Raw genomic sequence first — 20,282 nt, forward strand, 5'->3', positions numbered from 1 at the left:
GATGGTTACTTGCACATGGAACAGACAGGAAGCAAATACATTTTGAGGGGCTGTTACTGTCCAAAAATGTGCCACAAGTGGGGCCTACAATAGCCTGTGATGGTCTTCAAAACTATATCTGGAGAAGATGGCTGCAAAATCTGTGTATTGCCCAAGGAGTGTAGCATCCTACGCTTGCTTCAGTTGAGCCATGAGGGGTGCTGCACAAGGAAGGGCCTTCCAGGGCACAAAGCCAGGGGACACGGGATGACAAGCCCGGGAAGTGCTTCAGAGAGCAGGGCCAGGGCTGCCTGTGGGGTCACCAAGGAGCTCACCCTGCTGCCAGGGTGGGGAGTCTTTGTGATAATTCCTGCTCGGAAGGATTTTAAAGGGAGACTTGGGGCATCATGAACTGCTCTGTTTCTCTCATTCCCTTTTGAAGTTGGGTCTTTATGCAGCACCCTCTGCCAGCCCAAGCCCTGCACAGTGGCGATGTATCTGGAGAGGTGTTCAGATGACTGTCCATTGGATGCTTGATGTGATTATTGAGTGTCAACTTGATTGAATTGAAGGATGAAAAGTATTGTTTCTGGGTGTGTCTGTGAGGGTGTTGCCAGAGGAGATAAACACTGGGGTCAGTGGACTGGGAGAGGTGGACCCATCCTCAATCTGCGTGGGCACCATCCAATGGGCTGCCAGCGCAGCTTAAAAAATGTAGGTGGAAGAAAGTGGAAGAAGCTGGCTTGCTGAGTCTTCTGGCTTTCATCTTTCCTCCCACGCGGGATGCTTCCTGCCCTTGAACATCAGACTCCAGGTTCTTCAGCTTTTGGACTCTTGGACTTACACCAGTGGCTTGCTGGGGGCTCTTGAGCCTTTGGCCACAGACTGAAGGCTGCACTGTTGGCTTCCCTGCTTTTGAGGTTTTGGGACCTGGACTGATCCACCACTGGCTTCCTTGCTCCTCCGCCTGCAGACGGCCTATCGTGGGACTTCGCCTTGTGATCCTTTGAGTCAATTCTCCTTAATAAACTCCCTTTCGTATATACGTAGATCCTATTAGTTCTGTTCCTCTAGAGAACCCTGACTAATACAGCCACCTACCTCTGGGCTTTTGTTATAAGAGAAAGAAATAAGCCCCAATTTTGTTTAATCCACCGCTTAATGAGATTTTTTGTGTGTGTGAATCTCAGCCAAACAGCACTCTACCTGGTGCAGACCCCCAGCAGGGAGGCCAGCAGCTGAGGGAGGCCAGCAACTGAGGGAGGCCAGCAGCTGAGGGAGGCCAGCAGCCGAGGCTGGCTCAGCGCCAGGGTGCCCAGAGAGCAATGGCAGATGAGGCCAGGATCAACAACTTCCCCTGTTCACTCTCTCAGCAAACTTTCCACTTGAGTCCCAACCTTTAGTGTACTGCCTGACTCGGGGCCACCCTCTGGGAAGCCCTGGGTGGCATGTGCTAGGGTGCTTGCCGCAGCGCTGAGCTGAAAAGTCCAGGTGTCTCTGGGGGCAGGGCACACACTTTCCCAAGACAAGACATCACTGTGGTCCTGCTGGGGCTTCAGCCAGGCTCTGGGATCTGAAGCCCTCCTAGTTCCCCTAGACTGAGAGCCCCCAGTCACGTGCATTTCCCATCACTGCTTTGGACAGGGCTCCAAGGTCCTGTATGGCATGGGACCTATGTGTCACAGTGGCCACACTACCCCTATAAGCCACCCACAGTTATAGCTTTAGAAAATCATCTGTTCCAAAGCCTCTTACCAATGGGTTCTCCGATGGGTGCTGCTGGAGCATACTGAACCTGAACTCCACCTGAACATCAGCCGTCTGCTTCCTATGCATATACTGGGCCCTTGTTAGTGTTTTCCAGGTCTCTGTCCTCCTCTTTTTGCCCATCAGTGGCCTCTCCCTGGCTTTAGTATGTAGCAGAGGCTTTGCAAGCCTGGTTCTACAGGACACAGGTGGGGTAGTAGCTGGTAAGTCATGATGCGGAGGAATAAGGTTGGTTAATTTAATCAGCTCTCATATATTCACACCTACACTGTGCCTAGCTTCATGCCAAGCATGTTACAGGGATCATCTCATTGCACGTTCCCCACCAGCCTGGGCAGGTGGACAGCACCCTCAGCCCTACCTCACAGATGAGGGAACGAAGGCTCAGATCCGTTAAGAGGGTTGTTGTAGTCACCAGCAGACACGCGGCTGGACCAGGATTTGAGGCAAGCTGCAGCATTTCCTCCTGGTGCTGTTAGTGGTCTTCCCAGTAAGGAGTCTACAAGGGGCTGGGAATTCATTACAACAATATTAATACGTGTCTATTATAGACAACGCAGAAAACACATATATACAAAACACAAAGACCCAGAATAAAATGACGGTAAAATGTCAGTCAAATCCTTCTAATTACAAACATGCACGCACACACACACACACACACACACACAAACACACACAAACACGAATTCATGCAAAGCCAAAGTAAGAACATGCTACATACAGTTTTGCCATCTGCTTTTTCTTCAAATTCATAATATTTCATGTTCATCTTGCCACATCATTAAATACTCTTTTAAGTATAATTTTTATGGTTAGGTCATAAAATTTGGTTTATGGCTAGTACCATAGTTTGTATATATTTCTTTAGAAATAAATTAGGTTCTTTCCTCTTTTTTGACCACGACAAACACAGCCAAATTTCAATCTTTGTACACATCAACAATTATTTTCTTAGAACAAATTTCCAGAAGTGAATATCACAAGTAAATGGTTTTGTGGGCTCTGTAAAGGTTGTGTATCTGTTGTGCCAAATTATCTTCCCCAAAAGGTTTATCAATCTACATCCCCCCCAGCAGTGTCCGAAATTGCTCTTTTATTCCCTCTGATGGAAGCTAAATTTTTTCTCTTTGAATTGCAGTCACCAAACGTGAAGCAAAACTGTGTCTACTTGGGGATTTATTTTTCCTTATCCTGCTCAAGGTGTTGCTTTTCCCATCTGCCTCATGCTTTTCATCAGTTCTGGAACGTTCTCAGCCCTGGTGGCTTTAAATATTGCCTCTTCTGAGTTGCTCCAGGCTCTCCTCCGGGACCTCCTGTCTGGTAGACATTGAATGTGCTCCTCCTTTTGTCTGAGCCTTGAAGCCCCTCTGTCTGATTCCTGAATGGTTTCTTCAAATCACTAACTCCACTTGGCGGTCAACGTGTCCGCTTCGTTTCATTTCGTTTAATTTCTGCGGTTCTACTTTCTTCCCTTTCAGACTCCCCTGCTGTATTTTTCCCATAATGTCGTGTTCTTGCTTTGTGGTGTCTTTTCTTCCCTTTATCTCTTGAAATACTTTAAACACACTTATTTTAACGTTCCGTTGAAGTTGTCCTATTTTCTGTGCTTCCCGGAGTGTAATTTATCCCTTTCATTACTTCTGCTATTTCTTCCACGGGGCCTGAGTCTCGGCTCTCCCCATGGTGTAGGCCAAGCCCGAACCCAGGCCCTGCTCATTGGCCCAGCGACCCCAGGAGCCCCCGGCTTCTAGTGCCCTCACGGCTCCGGTTTCCTCTTGCTTTCTGGGACCCTGGAATTTTGCTTTCTTGCTTTTAGCCTTGGCACGTGTATGTGGACGGTGGTGTGTGTGAGCTTGCACGTGTGTGTGTGTGTGTGTGCACTTTATGGTGTATGCTGTGTGGTGAGGGGGGCTCTCTGTGCCAGCTCTGCCTCCCATCTTAAAGTCTCACTCAAAAATTACTTACTCATCAACTAATAATAGTAGCAATGATAGTAATTCAATGTGTCTCTGAGGTTCCAGGAGACTTTATAGCCCTCATCACAGCCACAGCTCACACTAGTGGGTGTTTAAATAGCACATGTGATCTTATTTAATTCTTTGAATAACCTTTGTCATTATCCCCATTTTACAGATAAGTAAACTGTGGAAGGATGGGAAAAATGAATTGGCACTACTGGAGATTATGCAGAGGGCTGGTGAGAGGGGCAGGCTTCGAAACCCGACCCTGCTCTCTGCCCGAGCGTCCACTCAAGTCCTGGAGTGGGAGGCACTGAGGTGGGCACCTCCAGCTTCTGCAGTGCTGAGGGGAGCCTTGTTCTTCTTCCTTCTCAGGACGGAAGGCCAAGGGGCTGGGATGGCAGGTGCCGTGAACAGCGAGCTCCCAGAGTTGGCCAAAAGCACAGCGGAGGTGCAAATCCAGGTATGTCTGGTTCCACCACCCCCCGACTGCCTGCCAAATGCACAGATGCATCTGTGCTCAAACACACACATTTACAAACACACACAGGTTGCCCCACGGTGAGAGCTGCTCACCTAAGGGAACTGGAGAAAAGCTGTGCTGGTCTCACAACGTTGCCGGCCTGTGGTCCTGTGCCTGTCCCAGAGCCTGGGCTGTGGGCGTGAAGACAGAAGGCATCCCAACCCTAGTACAAAGCATCCTCACACCTCAGTCCCCGGGCTAAGCAGGGCACACACTCCTCTCTAACCAGAACATTGCCAAGCAAAGGGCTGCCCCAGCTGCTCCGAGAAGCCGCACGCACGAAGCTGCAGTAAGCCCAAACCCAAGGCGGGAAAGCCCCTCACCCCGCGAAGGTGTCTGCCTGGTTTCCACGGGCAATGTTGCACAAGGCCATTTTTTACTGGAGAAGTGTTGAGGCTCCATTTTCTTAAGTTCTAATCATGAAAGGAACCAGGACAAGGCAGCAGGGAGCAGCAAAAGATTGGTGTGCCCTGCCCCAGGAGAAGGTGTGTGCTGTGGTCTGAATGTTCGCGCACCCCCTGCCAAAATTTATGCATTGAAATCTTTTTATTTTTGAAACAGAGTCTCACTCTTGTTGCCCAGGCTGGAGTGTAGGGGCACCATCTCGGCTCATTGCAACCTCCGCCTCCTGATTTTAAACAATTCTCCTGCCTCAGCCTCCCAAGTAGCTGGGACTACAGGCACGTGCCACCACGCCCAGCTAATTTTGTATTTTTAGTAGAGACAGTGTTTCACCATGTTGGCCAGGCTGGTCTCGAACTCCTGACCTCATGTGATCCACCCGCCTCGGCCTCCCAAAGTGCTGGGATTATAGGCATGAGCCACTGCGCCTGGCCATACATTGAAATCTGAACCCCGAGGGGATGGTATGACGAAGTGGGCCCTTTGGGAGGTGATGAGGTCATGGGGGTGGAGCCTCATAAATGGGACAAGTGTCCATAGAAAAGAGCCCCGAGAGAGACCCCTGACCCCTTCCACCACATGAGGACACAAAGAGAAGTCACCGTCTGTGAACGAGGAAAGGGGTCCTCGCCAGACCCTGAATTTGCCCGAGCTTTGACCCTGGACTTCAGAGGCTCCAGGATTGTGAGAAAGAAATTTCTGCTGTTGGCAAGCCACCAGTCTGTGGTGTTTTGTTACAGCAGCCTGACTGGGCCAAAACTGTGGCTGGTGATGATGGCAGGTATGCGTCCTGCAACAGTAGAAGGCGAGAGAGGCAGGTATACCGAGGTCTTGGAGGAACACAGCCAGCTGTCAACTTCAGTCCTCACTCTGTGGCTGCCAACACAGTCTTTGAGGTCAGTAGAAAGAATCTAACACACACTCCGCGGCTTTTCTTCCCAGAAACCTCCTTCTTTCAGCCCTGTCCCCCTCATGCCCAGGCATTCCTGTGGCCTCCCTCTCCCTGACTTTTGTTGAGAGATCGTGGTCCTTTGGGATCAACCCCGATGAGGCCTGGATTGCCCTGACCAGTGCTAGATTTAGGGAATCTTTTATCATACCTCACTTTGGGGTCAGCTTGGGATTCAAAGAACCAAAAGGTAGCAGAGGGATTTGAGAAATGCTTAAGGAGTGAAACTGTCATGACTTGGTGATGATGAAAGTTGGGGAGGCACCAGTGGGAAGAAGACTTTGGCTTGGTCTTTGTCTTGGCTAACCACTGCCCCTGGGTGAATTCTGGTGACATTGAAGGCTTTACCTGCCCATGGTCATAGCCGAAGGCCACAGGGCCAAGGTCTTCCTTTGATGCCCCTCCACACCCTCTGGTTCCCTCAGAGAGAAAGTTTCTTCCTCTGGCTTCCCATGAGAACTGGGCCCTTTCTCCGGCCCCAACCAGGCAGCGGGAGCTGATTCCCACATTCCAGCCTTAGGCTAAGGTCCTTCTGATATTGCAAAGATATCCCAGAACTGTGGGATCCCGAGCTGCAAATACCCCAGATGGCTGAAGCGCTCTTAACTGTACTACATTTAACAAATTCACTGGACTGCCCCCCTGCAGACCACACCACCACCCTGTGCTCGCCCTGGCCTTCCAGTGGCCGGCTGCTTGGCAGTCAGCCTGTGCCCTTCTGCTCCCACTGGAATGTGCAGCTCATCATGAAGGGTTGAATAAGACATGGGTCTCATTCAAAAGACCCCTCCAAAAAGATACAGTGAGCTCCTAACCCCTGGAACCTATAAATGGGACCGTATTTGGAAATAGGGTCTTTACAGATGCAAACAAGTTAAGTAGGGTCCTACTGGATTAGAGCAGACCTTAATCCAATATATATGACTGGTGTCCTTATAAGAAGAGGGGAAGACACACACAGACAGCCGCACACAAGGAGAAGGCCATGTGAGGGTGGAGATGGAGACCGGGGTGATGTTTTTACAGCCAAGAAACAGAAAGAATTGTGGTAGACGGACGTGGAACAGATTGCAGCCTCCGGAAGGAACCAACCCAGCACTCCAGGGAACCTCTTCACTTGGACTTCTGGCATCTAGAACAAATATCTGTTGCTCTAAGCCTCCTGGTTAGTGGTACCTGTTAGGGCAGCCCCAGGAAGCTAATGCACCAACCCAGAGTCCTCTGTGTTTTGTTCCCAAACCTGCTTATACCAGTGGCCTTTGTTATTGTAATGAGGTAATTGAGTTAAACATTACATAAGCCCATCGCTCTAAGTATGAAAAGAGAGCTGCAGCTCTGAAAACTGCATCAACTGCTTTGGAAAGAATAGATAAAGGTAAGTTCTTAAATCTATTGCAGTTGAATTAGGTTGGGCAAGTCAACCATGAAAGATCGGAAAATAAATCATATGAATCTAAAAGGATTCTAACCTCAGATTATTTTATATATGACTTCAAGTTCTCAGTCCACCCCAAAGAAACCTAAACTAGAAATGAAAGATTGAATATTACAAGTGTGTTTTATGAGAGGGAGAGAGAGATTGGAATTCCAATCAGGGGAGCTGTGCTCAAAGAAAAGGGCTTTGCCTTATAGCAAATGACTAACAAAATGACATCGTGTTATATGTTTCATGTTAAAACGAAAATATGTATGGCACCCATGTTGCATTTTTTTATCTTTCCCCACTTTGTCCAACTTTCACTTAACCAAATAACCCAGTTATGTCAGTTTAGAGGGTTTTTCTCAACATCCAAGCTCTTTCTCCAAAGTCTGGCTGCGCTTTGAAAAAAATCCTAAGCAAATGGAAGAGGGAAAAAAGATCTTAGATACTTGGCGTCTGTGTATTTGGCCACACTTGTGAGCACCCCATAGCTGTCCTCCAAATTCTACTTGCTATTATTATTTAATGATTCATTCACCAGTTACTGTCATTTCCTGGCTATGGAGATTTCCTCCTCAGCTGCCAGTTCCCTGAAGGCAGGGCCCTATCGCATAGCTTGTTCACATAAGAGTCCTTCCCTGCACGGTGTTTGTAAACATAAGCTGACGCTTTTAGGCACCGTCCCAGGTTCCATCAACCACCTTCATCTCCCCTCTCTCTTGGTTAGTGTCCCCAGCATACTAAGTTGTCCCTCCAAGATAAAACTTGGATAAAATGTCACAATACAGAGTGATGGGTGGGTCTGGCTTCCCCTATAGCTGCTGGAGGAGCAATGACAGCATTCAAGGGATCGTGGAAATTAGCTCCCAATGGAAAATAGGAGGCCAGAGGGACAGATAGGTCCCCACCCCTCCTCCTCTTCACAGACATCCCCAAGGTACCATCTCCCTTTACGAATCTTCCAGAGAAGGCACATGTTCTGAGCAAACACACCTGTTGGCTTCTTCGCGGCTCTTTCTCATGCCTGCTAGTTTCTCTGCGGCTCTTTGTGGAAGATGGAAGAGCAAGGTCACGCACCCCAGCACCAGCTCTGTACTTTCTCTTGCCTGGCCTCCATCTACCCCTCACTCACCACCTTGGGCTTGCACCTTCCAAATCCAGGATCCGCATTCGAACCCTTGCTTCAGGCTCTGCTTTCCAGGTGATGCAAAGACTCATGTAAATGGTTTGATGGATGTTGCAGAGACAAATGCAAGTGCTCAGCCAGGTCTCCAGCTCAAGAAACATCTCAGGAAGGAGTGAAAAGAGGTCACTGTGAGAGCAAATCCAGCTGGTGGTTATGAGAATGTGGAATATGGGGGTGATGGAGCTCCGCTTCTACTGACTCTTCGGAAGGTTCCCAGGAATCCACAGAGTCCCAGAGTCTTTAGGAAAAGAAGGATCTTGTGAGGTCATGTTGTCCAGTTCTCATCTGACAGAAAGAATCCATTCCACCATCCTAGAAACCCAAATACTCATCATGATCAAAAGCACTCCTGAAATCCAGGCATCTCCACCCTACGGCATCTTTCTTTCTGTTGTGATTGAAGTTCTCCCCACTGTCCTCCTGACTCAGTCCCTCCTTATATGTTAAAGCCATGGTCACCAGCCTGTCCTTGGTTTCCATTACCTGGCACACTATGGCAAAGCCACTGCTCGTGGCCACCAGACAGGTCGAGGCAGGCACTGGGGCCAATCCCATTCCTTGTTATGCCTGATGCCCTTCCGTGCCTGATGCCCCTCTGTCATCTCTTTGTTTGCACAGCTGTGACCTGCATTGTCTCCACTAACGACAGCGTCCTTAACCCGGACAGTGACCCAGCAAGTGGCAGCCCACGCTCGCCGGCCGGGTCCAAGTTTTAAGTAAAGAAGCCATTTGTTCCCAGGCTCATTTTTATCAAGGCTCGTCTGTCTTTCCAAATTAAGGCTGAGTCATTTATAAAGCATGTGAGTGTTTGGATGTTAGCAGCAAACATTCATCCATTTTAGAATAAATGATTAAAAGGCACTCATTAAATTCCTCTGTTGACTGATGCCAAGGCCCCGAGAACGGATTGGCCTGTTGGCTTCTGGCTGGCCTGACTGCCATCCCACCTACTGAGAACTCATGTATACTCTGGAGAGAAAATTCCTGCTCGAGGGGACACCCTGATGGAAGATAACAGGAAGGATGGCACTCAGGCCTGTTCCCCCAATATTACAGCACAGTTATCTACCTTCAGAGTGGCCGCACCCAACAGACTCTTGGTGAGTGGGAGGACAACCCCTTCTCCCCTCCAAAGATCTAGGGACAATGTGTGCCATTCCTTCCCATGGGCATGGGGAATGTTTAACTCAAAAGTCAAGGGAATAATTCAATAATGACTCAAAACTAAGTATTTCCAGTCCTGATAAGAATGGCACTCTGTGCCCAACTCCAGGAATACAAGAATTGGCAAGACTCTCCTGTGGCCCCTGCCCTGGAAGGTAGAAGGTAGAAGATCGTACACAGACAGGTAAACCAACTCCCGAACAGAACTGGGAGCCTCGGACCACAGGCTCCGCCCCTTTGCTGGCCAGCAGGTGCAGAGGGAAGGAGCTTCTGCTGTCCTTGCCCCCAGCAAATGTCCATCCTCACCACAAGGGAACAAACCATGCCCAATGCCTCATTGGGGGCACTGGCGCCCCTTGAATGTATCCTCTCTAGGATCCTTTGCCCCACCCACCTGTTTGCCATCTCCAAAGGTCCTTTCTTAATGTCTTTAATTTGGACGGCTCTGACAGCTCCCCACGGCTGGCCTGAGAAAATCGCACACTCCTCTGCATGCCATTTATCAGGTCACAGCATGAGTTTCCCGGGCCCTCCTTCCGCTAAAAAAACATTAAAACATATATATTACAATGGCATTGGTATAAACAGGAATCTATTGATTTATATACTGAAAACATTTTTCCTCAACCTAAAAGTTCATGTGTTTCCTTTTGATTTTAAAAGCAATTAAAACATTTCGGGAGTCCTGAAATCACTGTGGGCCCGAGGCACTGAGCCACCATACCCGACACTGAAGGGGGTCTGGGTCAGTCCTCTCTGCAGCTGTCCAGCCGCAGGTTCCCCCTGGGAGCTGCCCTTCCAGGCCTCCCTGCCTGTGCTGCTGCTGCTGCTGCTGCTCCTGCACCCTCAATGCTGCCCCATCCTTCTCCGCCACGAAACGTCCTGCAAAGGTGTTAAGCCCTGGACCTAGTGTGATGCTCCCAGGCCCTGGAGGCAGCATCTGTGCATCTTCTTTGCCCTCTGCCACCACTCTGACCCCCTGCAAGCCCAGACAGATGACGGTGTCTTCCTGACCAGGTGACAGGATCCTGCATTCCTCCCACAAACGTCTCCTGGGCACTGCCTGTGGGGATGCAGGAAGGATCTAATAAATGGCCTGGCCGATGCTTTGTATGTTCTGGAGACTCTTTGAAGTATTTTGTGTATGCTGTTTCGGTTCATCCCACACTGTAAAACCCCAAGGAGGTCCTTCTGATCGGACATGAGTCACCACCAGGTACCTCAGTGGGTAATGACATCGCTGAGATGCCCACACAGGCATTCTAGGTCCAGGGTGGGTGCTCTGGCCCCTGCCCCGTCCTGCCTCTCACAACTGTCCTCTAAGACGGGAAGTATCACTCCCATTTTGGAAACAGGGAAATTAGGCTGATGAAGATCACACATTCACCTAGCAATGGAGCTGGGTTCAAGCCCAGGACGGTCGGAGGCCGGGCAAGCACGGTGGGTTCTGCTCAAGCAGTGATGAGTAGGCACTGTCGCATAGCGAGATGTCCCAACGTGCGACACGACCTGGCTGCCTCTCCCACACTTTAGGCTTTGGAGGCCTCGGGTCAGAGCCAGAGATCCATGTTCTTTGTGAGCACAGACAGTGGCTGCGAGGACCAGGCTGGCCTCAGACACTAATGGGACTAGACAGTCAATTCAGCGCTGCACCCGGAGGCCCCGCCAGGAAGCTCTGCTGGGCACCTGCCTCGGGACGCTGAGCAAACATTATCTTTCCAACTGTGGTTCTGCTCACATGCTTGAGATGTCACCCTTATTGGTTCTCTGGGCGACGGCCTCCACCAAATGGGAGCTGACGGGCAGTTGGTGGGGCGGGAAGACGCCAAGAGGCCCGCTGGCCCTGGTTCCGTGCCTCCCTCGCAGCATCTGCTCTCCTGCTAGGATTGCTCCCAGCCATTCCAATCTGATTCATTGAAATGAAACCATTTCCACGGAATTTAATTTAAAGACTCGCCTGAAAACATTAGGGTTGATGCTGATGGAAGGTTTTTAGCCGAACGCTGACATGAGATGGGAGAGGGAAACCAGAAATTCTCATTATTGGCTAATGTTCCTGGGGTCCCTGGGGTGAAGGAAGGCAGGGGGGCTTCCCCGGGGCCGTTGCAGGGTGTTCCTCTTAAAGGATGAAACCAGAGCGAGCACAGAAGTCTCGCTGCAAGTGCAGGCTCTGGTCACACGGCCATTTGCCAGCTGTGTCCTCGGCAAGGCCCTCCCGCTCGCTGAGCCTCAATTTCTTCGTCTCTGCTAAGTTAACATGTCCTTACTCCCAGGATGAGACGAGAGGGTGCTTGCCAGGCACAAAGCACAGTGCTAGCCCAGAAAGTCCTCCCTGGAGTCAGTTCTTCTTTGTATTATTATTCCAAGTCCCAACATGGTTTAAGCTCAACATCACCCTTAAAAGAATCACTGGTTTTTAGCTTCGATTTTTAACACGAACCCAGAGACTGCTCCTTGCAAGGATGAAGTGACTTATGCGAGGCAAGACAGAGGGTAAGTGTCCCCGGGCCCGGCTCGTTATTAAGCAGGGAGCTCTCACCGTCCGGAGGTGCAGAGGGCTGGGGATGCTGCCCTGGCTGCCCTGCGCCGAGCCAACTCTGCATCAGGAGGCAGGTGCCGTTATCATCCCATTATTTACAGATGGGGAAACTGAGGCTCGGTGAAAGGTTATAATTTTCCAAGTCCATAGCATTCGTAAAAGTTGGATCCAGAACTTAAAACTGGACAGTTTGACCCCGGTGAGCCTGCTTTTACCACCTCCATTCTCCTGCGTGGCTCCTTCACCACAGCACTGCCGGCGTTTGTGGTTGGGTCATTCTTAGTCATGGGGACTGTCTTGTGCCCCAGAACCATCGGACTTGGTTTGTAACCAACAGGCGTGGTCTACAGCTAGCAGACACTGTCTGTAACCAGTGGGCTTGGTTTGCAGCCATTTATACAGTTTTCCCTCACTCCAGTCATGATTCACAGCACTGGGCAGGGAGAGCTTGATCCAGCGACTGTAGGTTCCGTGGTTGTACCTAGATGATGTGAGAGGCCAGATCTTTGTATTATTATTCCAAGTGCCAACATAGTTTAAGTGGAAACCTCCAGGGCCCCTTTCAGCCTCCACTGCAGGAGGGCAGGGCTGCACACACACAGGGAAATAATTCCCATGGGGGGATTGTATTGTTTGCCTACAGTTTTGCCCTCCCTCCCCTCCCTGGCCACAGCTCTCCTGGGGATGGATACTCTGTCCATCCCACCCTTGTGGGCTTGGCTTTGTGACTTGCTTTGGTCCATGACATGGTGGCAGAACTAACCAAGTGCCAGTTCTAAGCTGAGTCCTTCAGAGGCATTGCATGAGGCCACTTGTCCCTCTAACACCTCTGCCACCTGCCATGAAAGTGTCCTGCTCCAAAGTGCACTGAACCCAGAAGGACAGCCACATGGAGTCAACTCGAGCCTGACCCACACCTCCAGCAGAACCACCTGCAGACCACGAACAAGAAAATTCCGTGTTCACTGTTGTAAGCCTTTGAGATTTGGGGGGTTTTGTTAAGCAGCTTTATTACAAAAATATCTGACTATCCCTCCCCAGGGGAAATTTAGAAGAGGAAGAGAAGCTTCCCAGACAGAATCTCCCACACACGTCCTCTGCCCTCACAACTCACCGTCCCCAGAAGGTATTGCTGGTGACTATCATCAAAAAGAGTCACATGGTGCAAAGCTGTTCACGCCCCTTCGATTCTCCGCAACCCTCCTGGCGGTGGCTCTGAGTGCTGCCGGCATTGTGACAGTGAATAAATGAAACCAAAACCTGTGCCCTTTCCTCTGCAAGCAGCTCCCTCTGTTGGCCTCAGACACCCTGGCCCGAGCCCCTTATCTTGTTCATGCTCCCTGGACACTGCTTGATGCTGAGGGAATGCAGCGGGCAAGCCTGAGTTCCACGGGAGATGAGAGGCCAGGCAGGTGCAGAGCAGAGGGCTTTGGAGCTGTGTGGCCACGACAGTGCAGAAGGGGAGGGTGGGCCCTCTGCCTGTTCACTCTGCCTGAGCAGGCATCACTGGGAGGGGTAACAAGGAGGAGGAGAAGCCAGTTCTGTCATCCCAGAGCCTCCATGCTGCGTGAAGAAACAGCCCCACAACAGCAGAGCCCTCCAGGGTCCACTCCTCGCAACACTCACCACTGTAGGGTGGGCAGAGTCCCCATGTGCTCCACCGCCACCTCGGGAGAGGTTCCCATGGGTGTGCATGAATGGACAACTGGGAGCATGCATCTCCAGGATGGGTGCAGACAGGCACCTCTGCAAGCCTCGATTCCAGGAGCAATAGAGAGGCAGGGTAGCTTCATTTACACCATGTGATATGGTTTGGCTTTGTATCCCCAACCCAAATCTCCTCTCTAATTGTAATTCCCATGTGTTGAGGGAGGGAGGTGATTGGATCAGGGGGGCAGTTTCCCCCATGCAGTTCTCGTGTGAGTGAGTGAGTTCTCATGAGATCTGATAGTTTTATAAGAGGCTCTTGCCTCTTCACTTTCTCCTCTCTCCTGACGTCATGTAAGGCGTGCCTGCTTCGCCTTCTGCTATGATTGATTGTAAGTTTCCTGAGGCCTCTCAGCCACACGGAACTGTGAGCCAATTAAACCTCTTTCCTTTATAAATTACCCAGTCCCAGGTATTTCTTTATAGCAGTGTGAAAACAAACTAATACCCCGTGTATCCGAAGATTCTAGGGAAGAAGACTTCCTCATCCATTCCTAGCTCCGGTGACTCTGGCAGTCCTTCGCTTGTGGCTGCATCACTCCCGTCTCTGCCTCCATCTTCCCACAGCCATCCCCCCTCTGTCTGTGCCTCTTCTTCTCTTCTCATAAGGACACTGATCCTATCTGAATGGAGTCCACCTTAATGCAGTATGACCTCATCTTAACAAAGCACATCTGCAATGACTCTATTCTTAAATAAGGTACACTCTGAAGTTCTGGGTAGACATGAATTTCAGAAGGACATGATTCAACCTAGTGCAGTGACCAACGGAACCAACAGGGGCTCCACTATTTGCAACTCAAAACAGCGTTATGGAGCCTCCAATTTAGCCCCAAATCACCTGCCAAAAGAGGTCCCAGCCACCTGGTTATTCTTCTTCCTGCATCCCTGGCCAACTGTGTTGCCCTGGGACTGCCTGGGACTTCACTGGGTTGGGGTACAGCAGTCCCTGGAGGTGGAGGCTTGTCGACTTTGCACTTTGAGTTGGAGAAATGGGCAGAGATATTTCCTGCCATTTATTCATCACAGAGGACTTGGGCAGGGTTTGTTTATCTCCAGAAAAGATGGATTGGAGAGTCTCTGTCCTCCACAGACTGAGGCAGGCAGTTTATCGCCAAGGAAAATGTCTGAGAAGCAAGGAGCTCGGGCCTTGGGGAGTTCCCTCATGTCATTCTCATGCCGGATAAGGTGCTCCTGTGTCCACCCTCCTACCTTGGTCCTTACTTACATGAGCCCAACTGGGAATGTGCTCCGTGATTCAGGTCCACTTAATTTCTAGAATGCTCAGGTAGAAACTAATCATTAAAAACATGTAAATTAATTTACCCCAGGAGCTTAATAGATTAGCCATCGACTTTTTTCCTCCTTTTGGATTCTAACCTTTCACGGAAATTAATCACAAAGGGCTCAAAATAGCCACCGAGGATTAACATGCTCTGTTCAGTCTTGGTGAGTGGGAACTCAGGCCCAGCCCCTCAGAGAGGAGGAAGGATCCCCGCATCTTCACATTCCCTTTTCCCCTCCCAGCAGTCCTCTGTTGGATTCGATACAGCCACCCCGGGAGTGGCTGGAAGCCCCTGGCCACCTGACTCTTCCTTCACAGCAGTTACCCAGGAGAAGGGAAAAAAAGGTCTGCCACTTGTGACATTGGCAGCCCGCACCCCACTGGGTGGAAAGGTCAGCCACACACATTGCAAAGAGGAGGGCCTTCTAGGGCACACAGAGACATCCCTGCACATTCTTTCATTCATGTATTCACTCTTGGAGCATTTATTGAGTACCTACAATATACCAGGACCTGCATGGGTGCTAAGCACATCTAGATCAACGAGATCCAGTCCCTGCCCTCAGGGGACAAACACGGAATCACAGGATCTCATCAGTGTGGCTGGAGCAACCACAGAGCATCCTGGGAGCCTGAGAAGGGAGGTGTGAAAACTGCCTGGAGCAGGCCTTGAGGGCTCCATGGAGGAAGGGACACTTTGAGCTTTTTCTTAAGCACTAGCAAGCATTTGCCAAGGGGAGGAGATGCTCTCCGGGAGGAATGGAGGACAAATATCATGACGGCTACAGGGACCCTGGGGCCAGCAGACCCGGGTTCAAAGCCAGATGCAGCCTCTGACCAGCTGTGTGATGACACCGTCATTGGGCAAGTCACTTGCCAATGTTGACGGAGGGTGGATTGTGGATTGTGCAGTAAGTGGAGCTCTTAAGGCTGCAGAAATGAACACGCCGGGTGAGGAACGGTGGGCAGAGAGATAAATGAATGAATTAATTAAAAAATGGATAGAAGGATGAGTCGGCTGCCTGGTGAGGAGTTCTGCCCTAGGAGTAGTCACAGGACATGGGAGGGATGTTGGCTGCAGAGCGTGCTCAGATTTGCTGCTTAGAACTGCGTCCCCAGCAGCAGCCCTGAGGGGCTGAGTTGCCGCAGGACATAGCTGCAGAGCCCTGACCACTTTTCTTCTCTAGGTTGGTGCCTTTGTCCACGGCTCTGCTGGGTGTGGTCTTCTGTCTTTGATCTGAGGCCCTTACGGCAGTGGTCCCCAGGTCTGCCCTCACAAAACTGACATCTGCCTGTGGACACTTTGGCTCCTGGATTCGTTTCCTTTGGCTGACATAACCCATCACCACACAGCGCTCCTGCAGAGGACACGTGCTGAGCATTTCCAGAAGAGAGGAGAATCAGCAGCAAGAACCATGGGTGTGCAGCATAGCCAGTAAGGGGGCACGAATGGTTTGATTTTGGAGATTAAAGGAAAGGGCAACTCTGGGACAAGTGTGATATACAAGTTCCAGGTTCAAATCTGTTTGCAAGTTCCTTCCATGACGGGACTGCCGCTGTACTTCTTTCACACACACCTTGCAGCCAGCCCTCACCTGTGCAGCTAGTCCTTATCTCTGCAGTCAGACCCCATCTGTACAGTCAGCCCTCACCTGTCCAGCCAGCCCTTACCTGTCCAGTCAGCCCTCACCTGTCCAGTCAGCCCTCACCTGTCCAGCCAGCCCTTACCTGCGCAGCTAGTCCTCACCTGTCCAGTCAGCCCTCACCTGTGCAGCTAGTCCTTATCTGTGCAGTCAGACCTCATCTGTACAGTCAGCCCTCACCTGTCCAGCCAGAACTCACCTGTGCAGCTAGTCCTCCCCTGTGCAGCTAGTCCTCACCTGTCCAGCCAGCCCTCACCTGTCCAGCCAGCCCTCACCTGCGCAGCTAGTCCTCACCTGTTGTCAGCCCTCACCTGTGCAGCTAGTCCTTATCTGTGCAGTCAGACCTCATCTGTACAGTCAGCTCTCACCTGTCCAGCCAGACCTCACCTGTGCAGCTAGTCCTCACCTGTGCAGCTAGTCTTCACCTGTCCAGCCAGACATCACCTGTCCAGCCAACCCACACCTGTGCAGCCAGACCTCACCTGTGTAGCCAGCCCTCACCTGTCCAGCCAGCCCTCATCTGTCCAGTCAGCCTTCACCTGTGCAGCTAGTCCTTATCTCTGCATTCAGAGCTCATCTGTACAGTCAGCCTTCACCTGTCCAGCCAGACCTCACCTGTGCAGCCAGCCTTCACCTGTCCAAGCAGCCCTCAGCTGTCCAGCCAACCCTCACCTGTGCAGTCAGTCCTCACCTGTCCACCCAGTTCTCACCTGTGCAGTCAGCCCTCACCTGTCCAGCCAGCCCTCACCTGTCTAGTCAGCCCCCACCTGTCCAGCCAGCACATTGTCAGTGCTGGGCTCAGACCCAGGCTTAAATTGGCAGCTGTTGACATTACAAGCCTCAAAGTTGAGAGGAGCAGGCAGAGGAACGGGGCTTCTTTCTTCTCTCTGGGCACCTAAACAGGGGTTACCTGCAGAGGCCTTAGACCAGGTGATGGCAAGAAGCCCACTCTCCGCAGCCTGGGGCTGTCTGCCTCCAGGCCTCTGCACCATGACTTTGCAGGAGCCGTGCAAACAGCAGCTGCGTCTGGCAAGCGCGCAGAGAGTCAGGGCAATGCCAATTTGAGGCAGACGTCTGAAGAAGCTATTTCTAAAACAGCAATTACCAGAAAGGGGAACAAATTACTACTTACTTCAGAGACTTTCACACATGGAGAATCAGGGCCCTACAAAGTAATCAGGGCAATGTGTTTGCAAAACTGCATTATTTATATTGAAATATTTCATGGAGAAAGGTCAGGAACAAAAATTGAAGGTTAGCAAGGAATAAAATACCAGGGTCACCTATCTCCGCAAATTCTGCATGGGGCCCTGATTATGGCCGCATTAGGCACATTTGAAAACTATTACAGAAACCCAGGCTGGTGTCCAACATCAGATTTCTAGGAAAAATGAACTCGGTTGTCCAAACCCAAAGGCAGCCCCATGCCTACAACCCACGGAGGGTCAGGCCAGGCCCTGTGGGTGTCAGGCCTGGGTGCCACTAGAGAACCCGTCCATTCATCAGACACTTGGCGCCCATCTTACTTTGTTGCCAGCCAGTCAACCAGCTCCTCTGGAGCTCTACCCGGGCACACCAGGACACTGATCGCTGATCAGGTACTGGGCAAGGAGGCAAGGTAGCCAGGGCCAGGGCCAGCAGAACAACCAGGCAGGACCCTGGATTTGGGATCTGTGAGAGATGTCAGTAGCTGACTTCCCCAAGAAGGGTGAGGCCATAGGAGCAGGGTCTCCTTCCTCCACCACACCCTCACCCTGCCTGCACCACCAGCCCTCCAGGGCTCAGTGCCTCAGGTTCTCCTTCCTGTCCCCCTGGGCAAAATGCGCTCCCAGGAGAAGACCACCGCTGATGCCCTAGGAATGTGTGTGCACCCCTATTATCTAAGTTGATCCTTGCAGCGCCCTGGCAAGGCTGGGAGGAAGAGGATCCTCGATCTTAGTGGGGCTGCTTTCCAGCCTTGCCTGGGAAGCTCCAGGCCTCTGTGGTGGGTGTTCAGCCTACTGGGGCTGCAGACATTTCCCTCCGTGTCCTCACTTTAGGCACGAGCCCCAGGTCTCTGCAACACTGTCCAGCGCTCAGCTTCTGAGACTCCAAACTGTCCTCATTCATCCTGCACCCAGGCAGGCAGGTCCACCCCCAGCTCTTCTCATTATCCTACAGCTTATCCTGGTCAAGAGCTGCCCACCCCACCCCAACCCTGCATGAAGCCTTCTCGCCTGCACAACGGCCCCCACCTCACTCCTCTTCTCCGAATGCCCATGACTCTCAGAGCTTCTCTCACACCAGGCTGTGCCCAGTAGCACACGGCCTGGTTACAAGTGTTGCTTTCATGCCTAACTTAGGTGAAATCTTCCTGGGGCAGACACCTTGGAGCATTTGCTAGTTTGCTCATTCATTCATTCTCTAGGCACACTTATGCTCCTCAGGGGCAGGGGTTTTGTTTGTTCTGTTCTCTGATGCATCCTCTGCACCTTGAACAGTGTCTGCCACAGAGAAGGCACTCAATGAATATATGAGAGATTTATCCTTCCATCCGTCCACTCATCCACCACCCATTCACCATCCTTCCATCCAAACATCCACCATCTTTCCATTCATTCGTGCGTTCATCCATCCATACAGCCATCCATCAATTAATCCACCATCTGTCCTTCTACCCATTCATCTATCTACCATCCCTCTATTCATCCATCCACACATCCATCCACCCATTTACCACCTAGTCACCATTCTTCCATCCATCCATCCATCCATCTTTCCATCTATGATCCATCCATCCATCCATCCAATCATCAATAAATCCACCATCTGTCTTTCCATCCATCTATCCAGCTATCCATCCATTCATCGACCATCCTTCAACTATCCATTCATCCATACATCCACCATGTATCTATCCATTCATCCATCCATCATCTTTACATCCATCCATCCACACATGCATACATACATACATACATGCACCAAGAGTTCCTGAGTAACTCTGGGGCAGATTCTGGCAGAAAGGTCTACAGAAAGGAGACCCTGGTCATCTGTCTCTTAGAAGCTTCTATGTGGTATGTGGGGCTTTGTATAGGGCTGAGAACAAGCTCAGCCTGAAAGAAACATATGAGAAAAGGCAAGAGGAAGAGGAGTTACTGAGGCCCAGCTGAGGACAACTCCCATCTGCAACCTCAGCCCCAGAACCGCAGAACAGGAAGGTGTGACCACTGCTAGCTCCATCATTGGCAAGGCCCAGTGCAAAAAAGTGCCATTCAAGGTCCTAGCATTACATAGCAAATGAAAATCATCCTGACAAGTTGAGAGAAAAGCAATGGAAGAAAGGCATTTTTACATAGCAAATAAAAATAATCTCAATAAGATGATGATATGCATTTGCTACATAATCCCATAATAAGTAAAGAAAAATTTTACTTGTAAGTCCTTAGTGTGGATTTTACCATTCACCTTTATCCTGTGCAATGCCAGCTTTAAAAGCAAATGTTAAGAGCATTTATCTCATGGATGGAATCACCAAAATTGCACAATTCCTATGGTGCAGCTTGTACATGTATTCCTTTCTTACTAGAACAGTGGAGATGCTGTACTAAGCCAACTTAGCTGTTTTCATTTCCCTTCTTGATCAGGTACACTTACCCTCACTCCCTGCCTTGGGCTTCCTGATGAGCACGGAAGGACGGAAAGGAAAAGGAGCTTGGGCTGCCTCTCTGCCTTTCCTTTTATGTCATATTTTCAGCATAACTGGTTGGCTACACAG

At 50.6% G+C, this 20,282-nt stretch overlaps 1 long non-coding RNA gene across 1 annotated transcript; it reads right to left on the bottom strand.

Annotated features, from left to right (window-relative positions):
• Positions 1-1,377: 1,377 nt before the first annotated feature.
• On the bottom strand, positions 1,378-12,366 carry LOC107984911 (uncharacterized). The gene is made up of 5 exons (XR_001737879.1): positions 10,739-12,366; positions 9,746-9,890; positions 7,995-8,499; positions 2,108-2,255; positions 1,378-1,921 (listed from the first exon to the last, which is right to left on the bottom strand). It is a non-coding gene; the product is annotated as an uncharacterized LOC107984911 (long non-coding RNA).
• Between the last annotated feature and the right edge of the window lie 7,916 nt (positions 12,367-20,282).

Source organism: Homo sapiens, chromosome 1 (assembly GCF_000001405.40).
Source record: "Homo sapiens chromosome 1, GRCh38.p14 Primary Assembly".
NCBI lineage: Eukaryota > Metazoa > Chordata > Mammalia > Primates > Hominidae > Homo > Homo sapiens.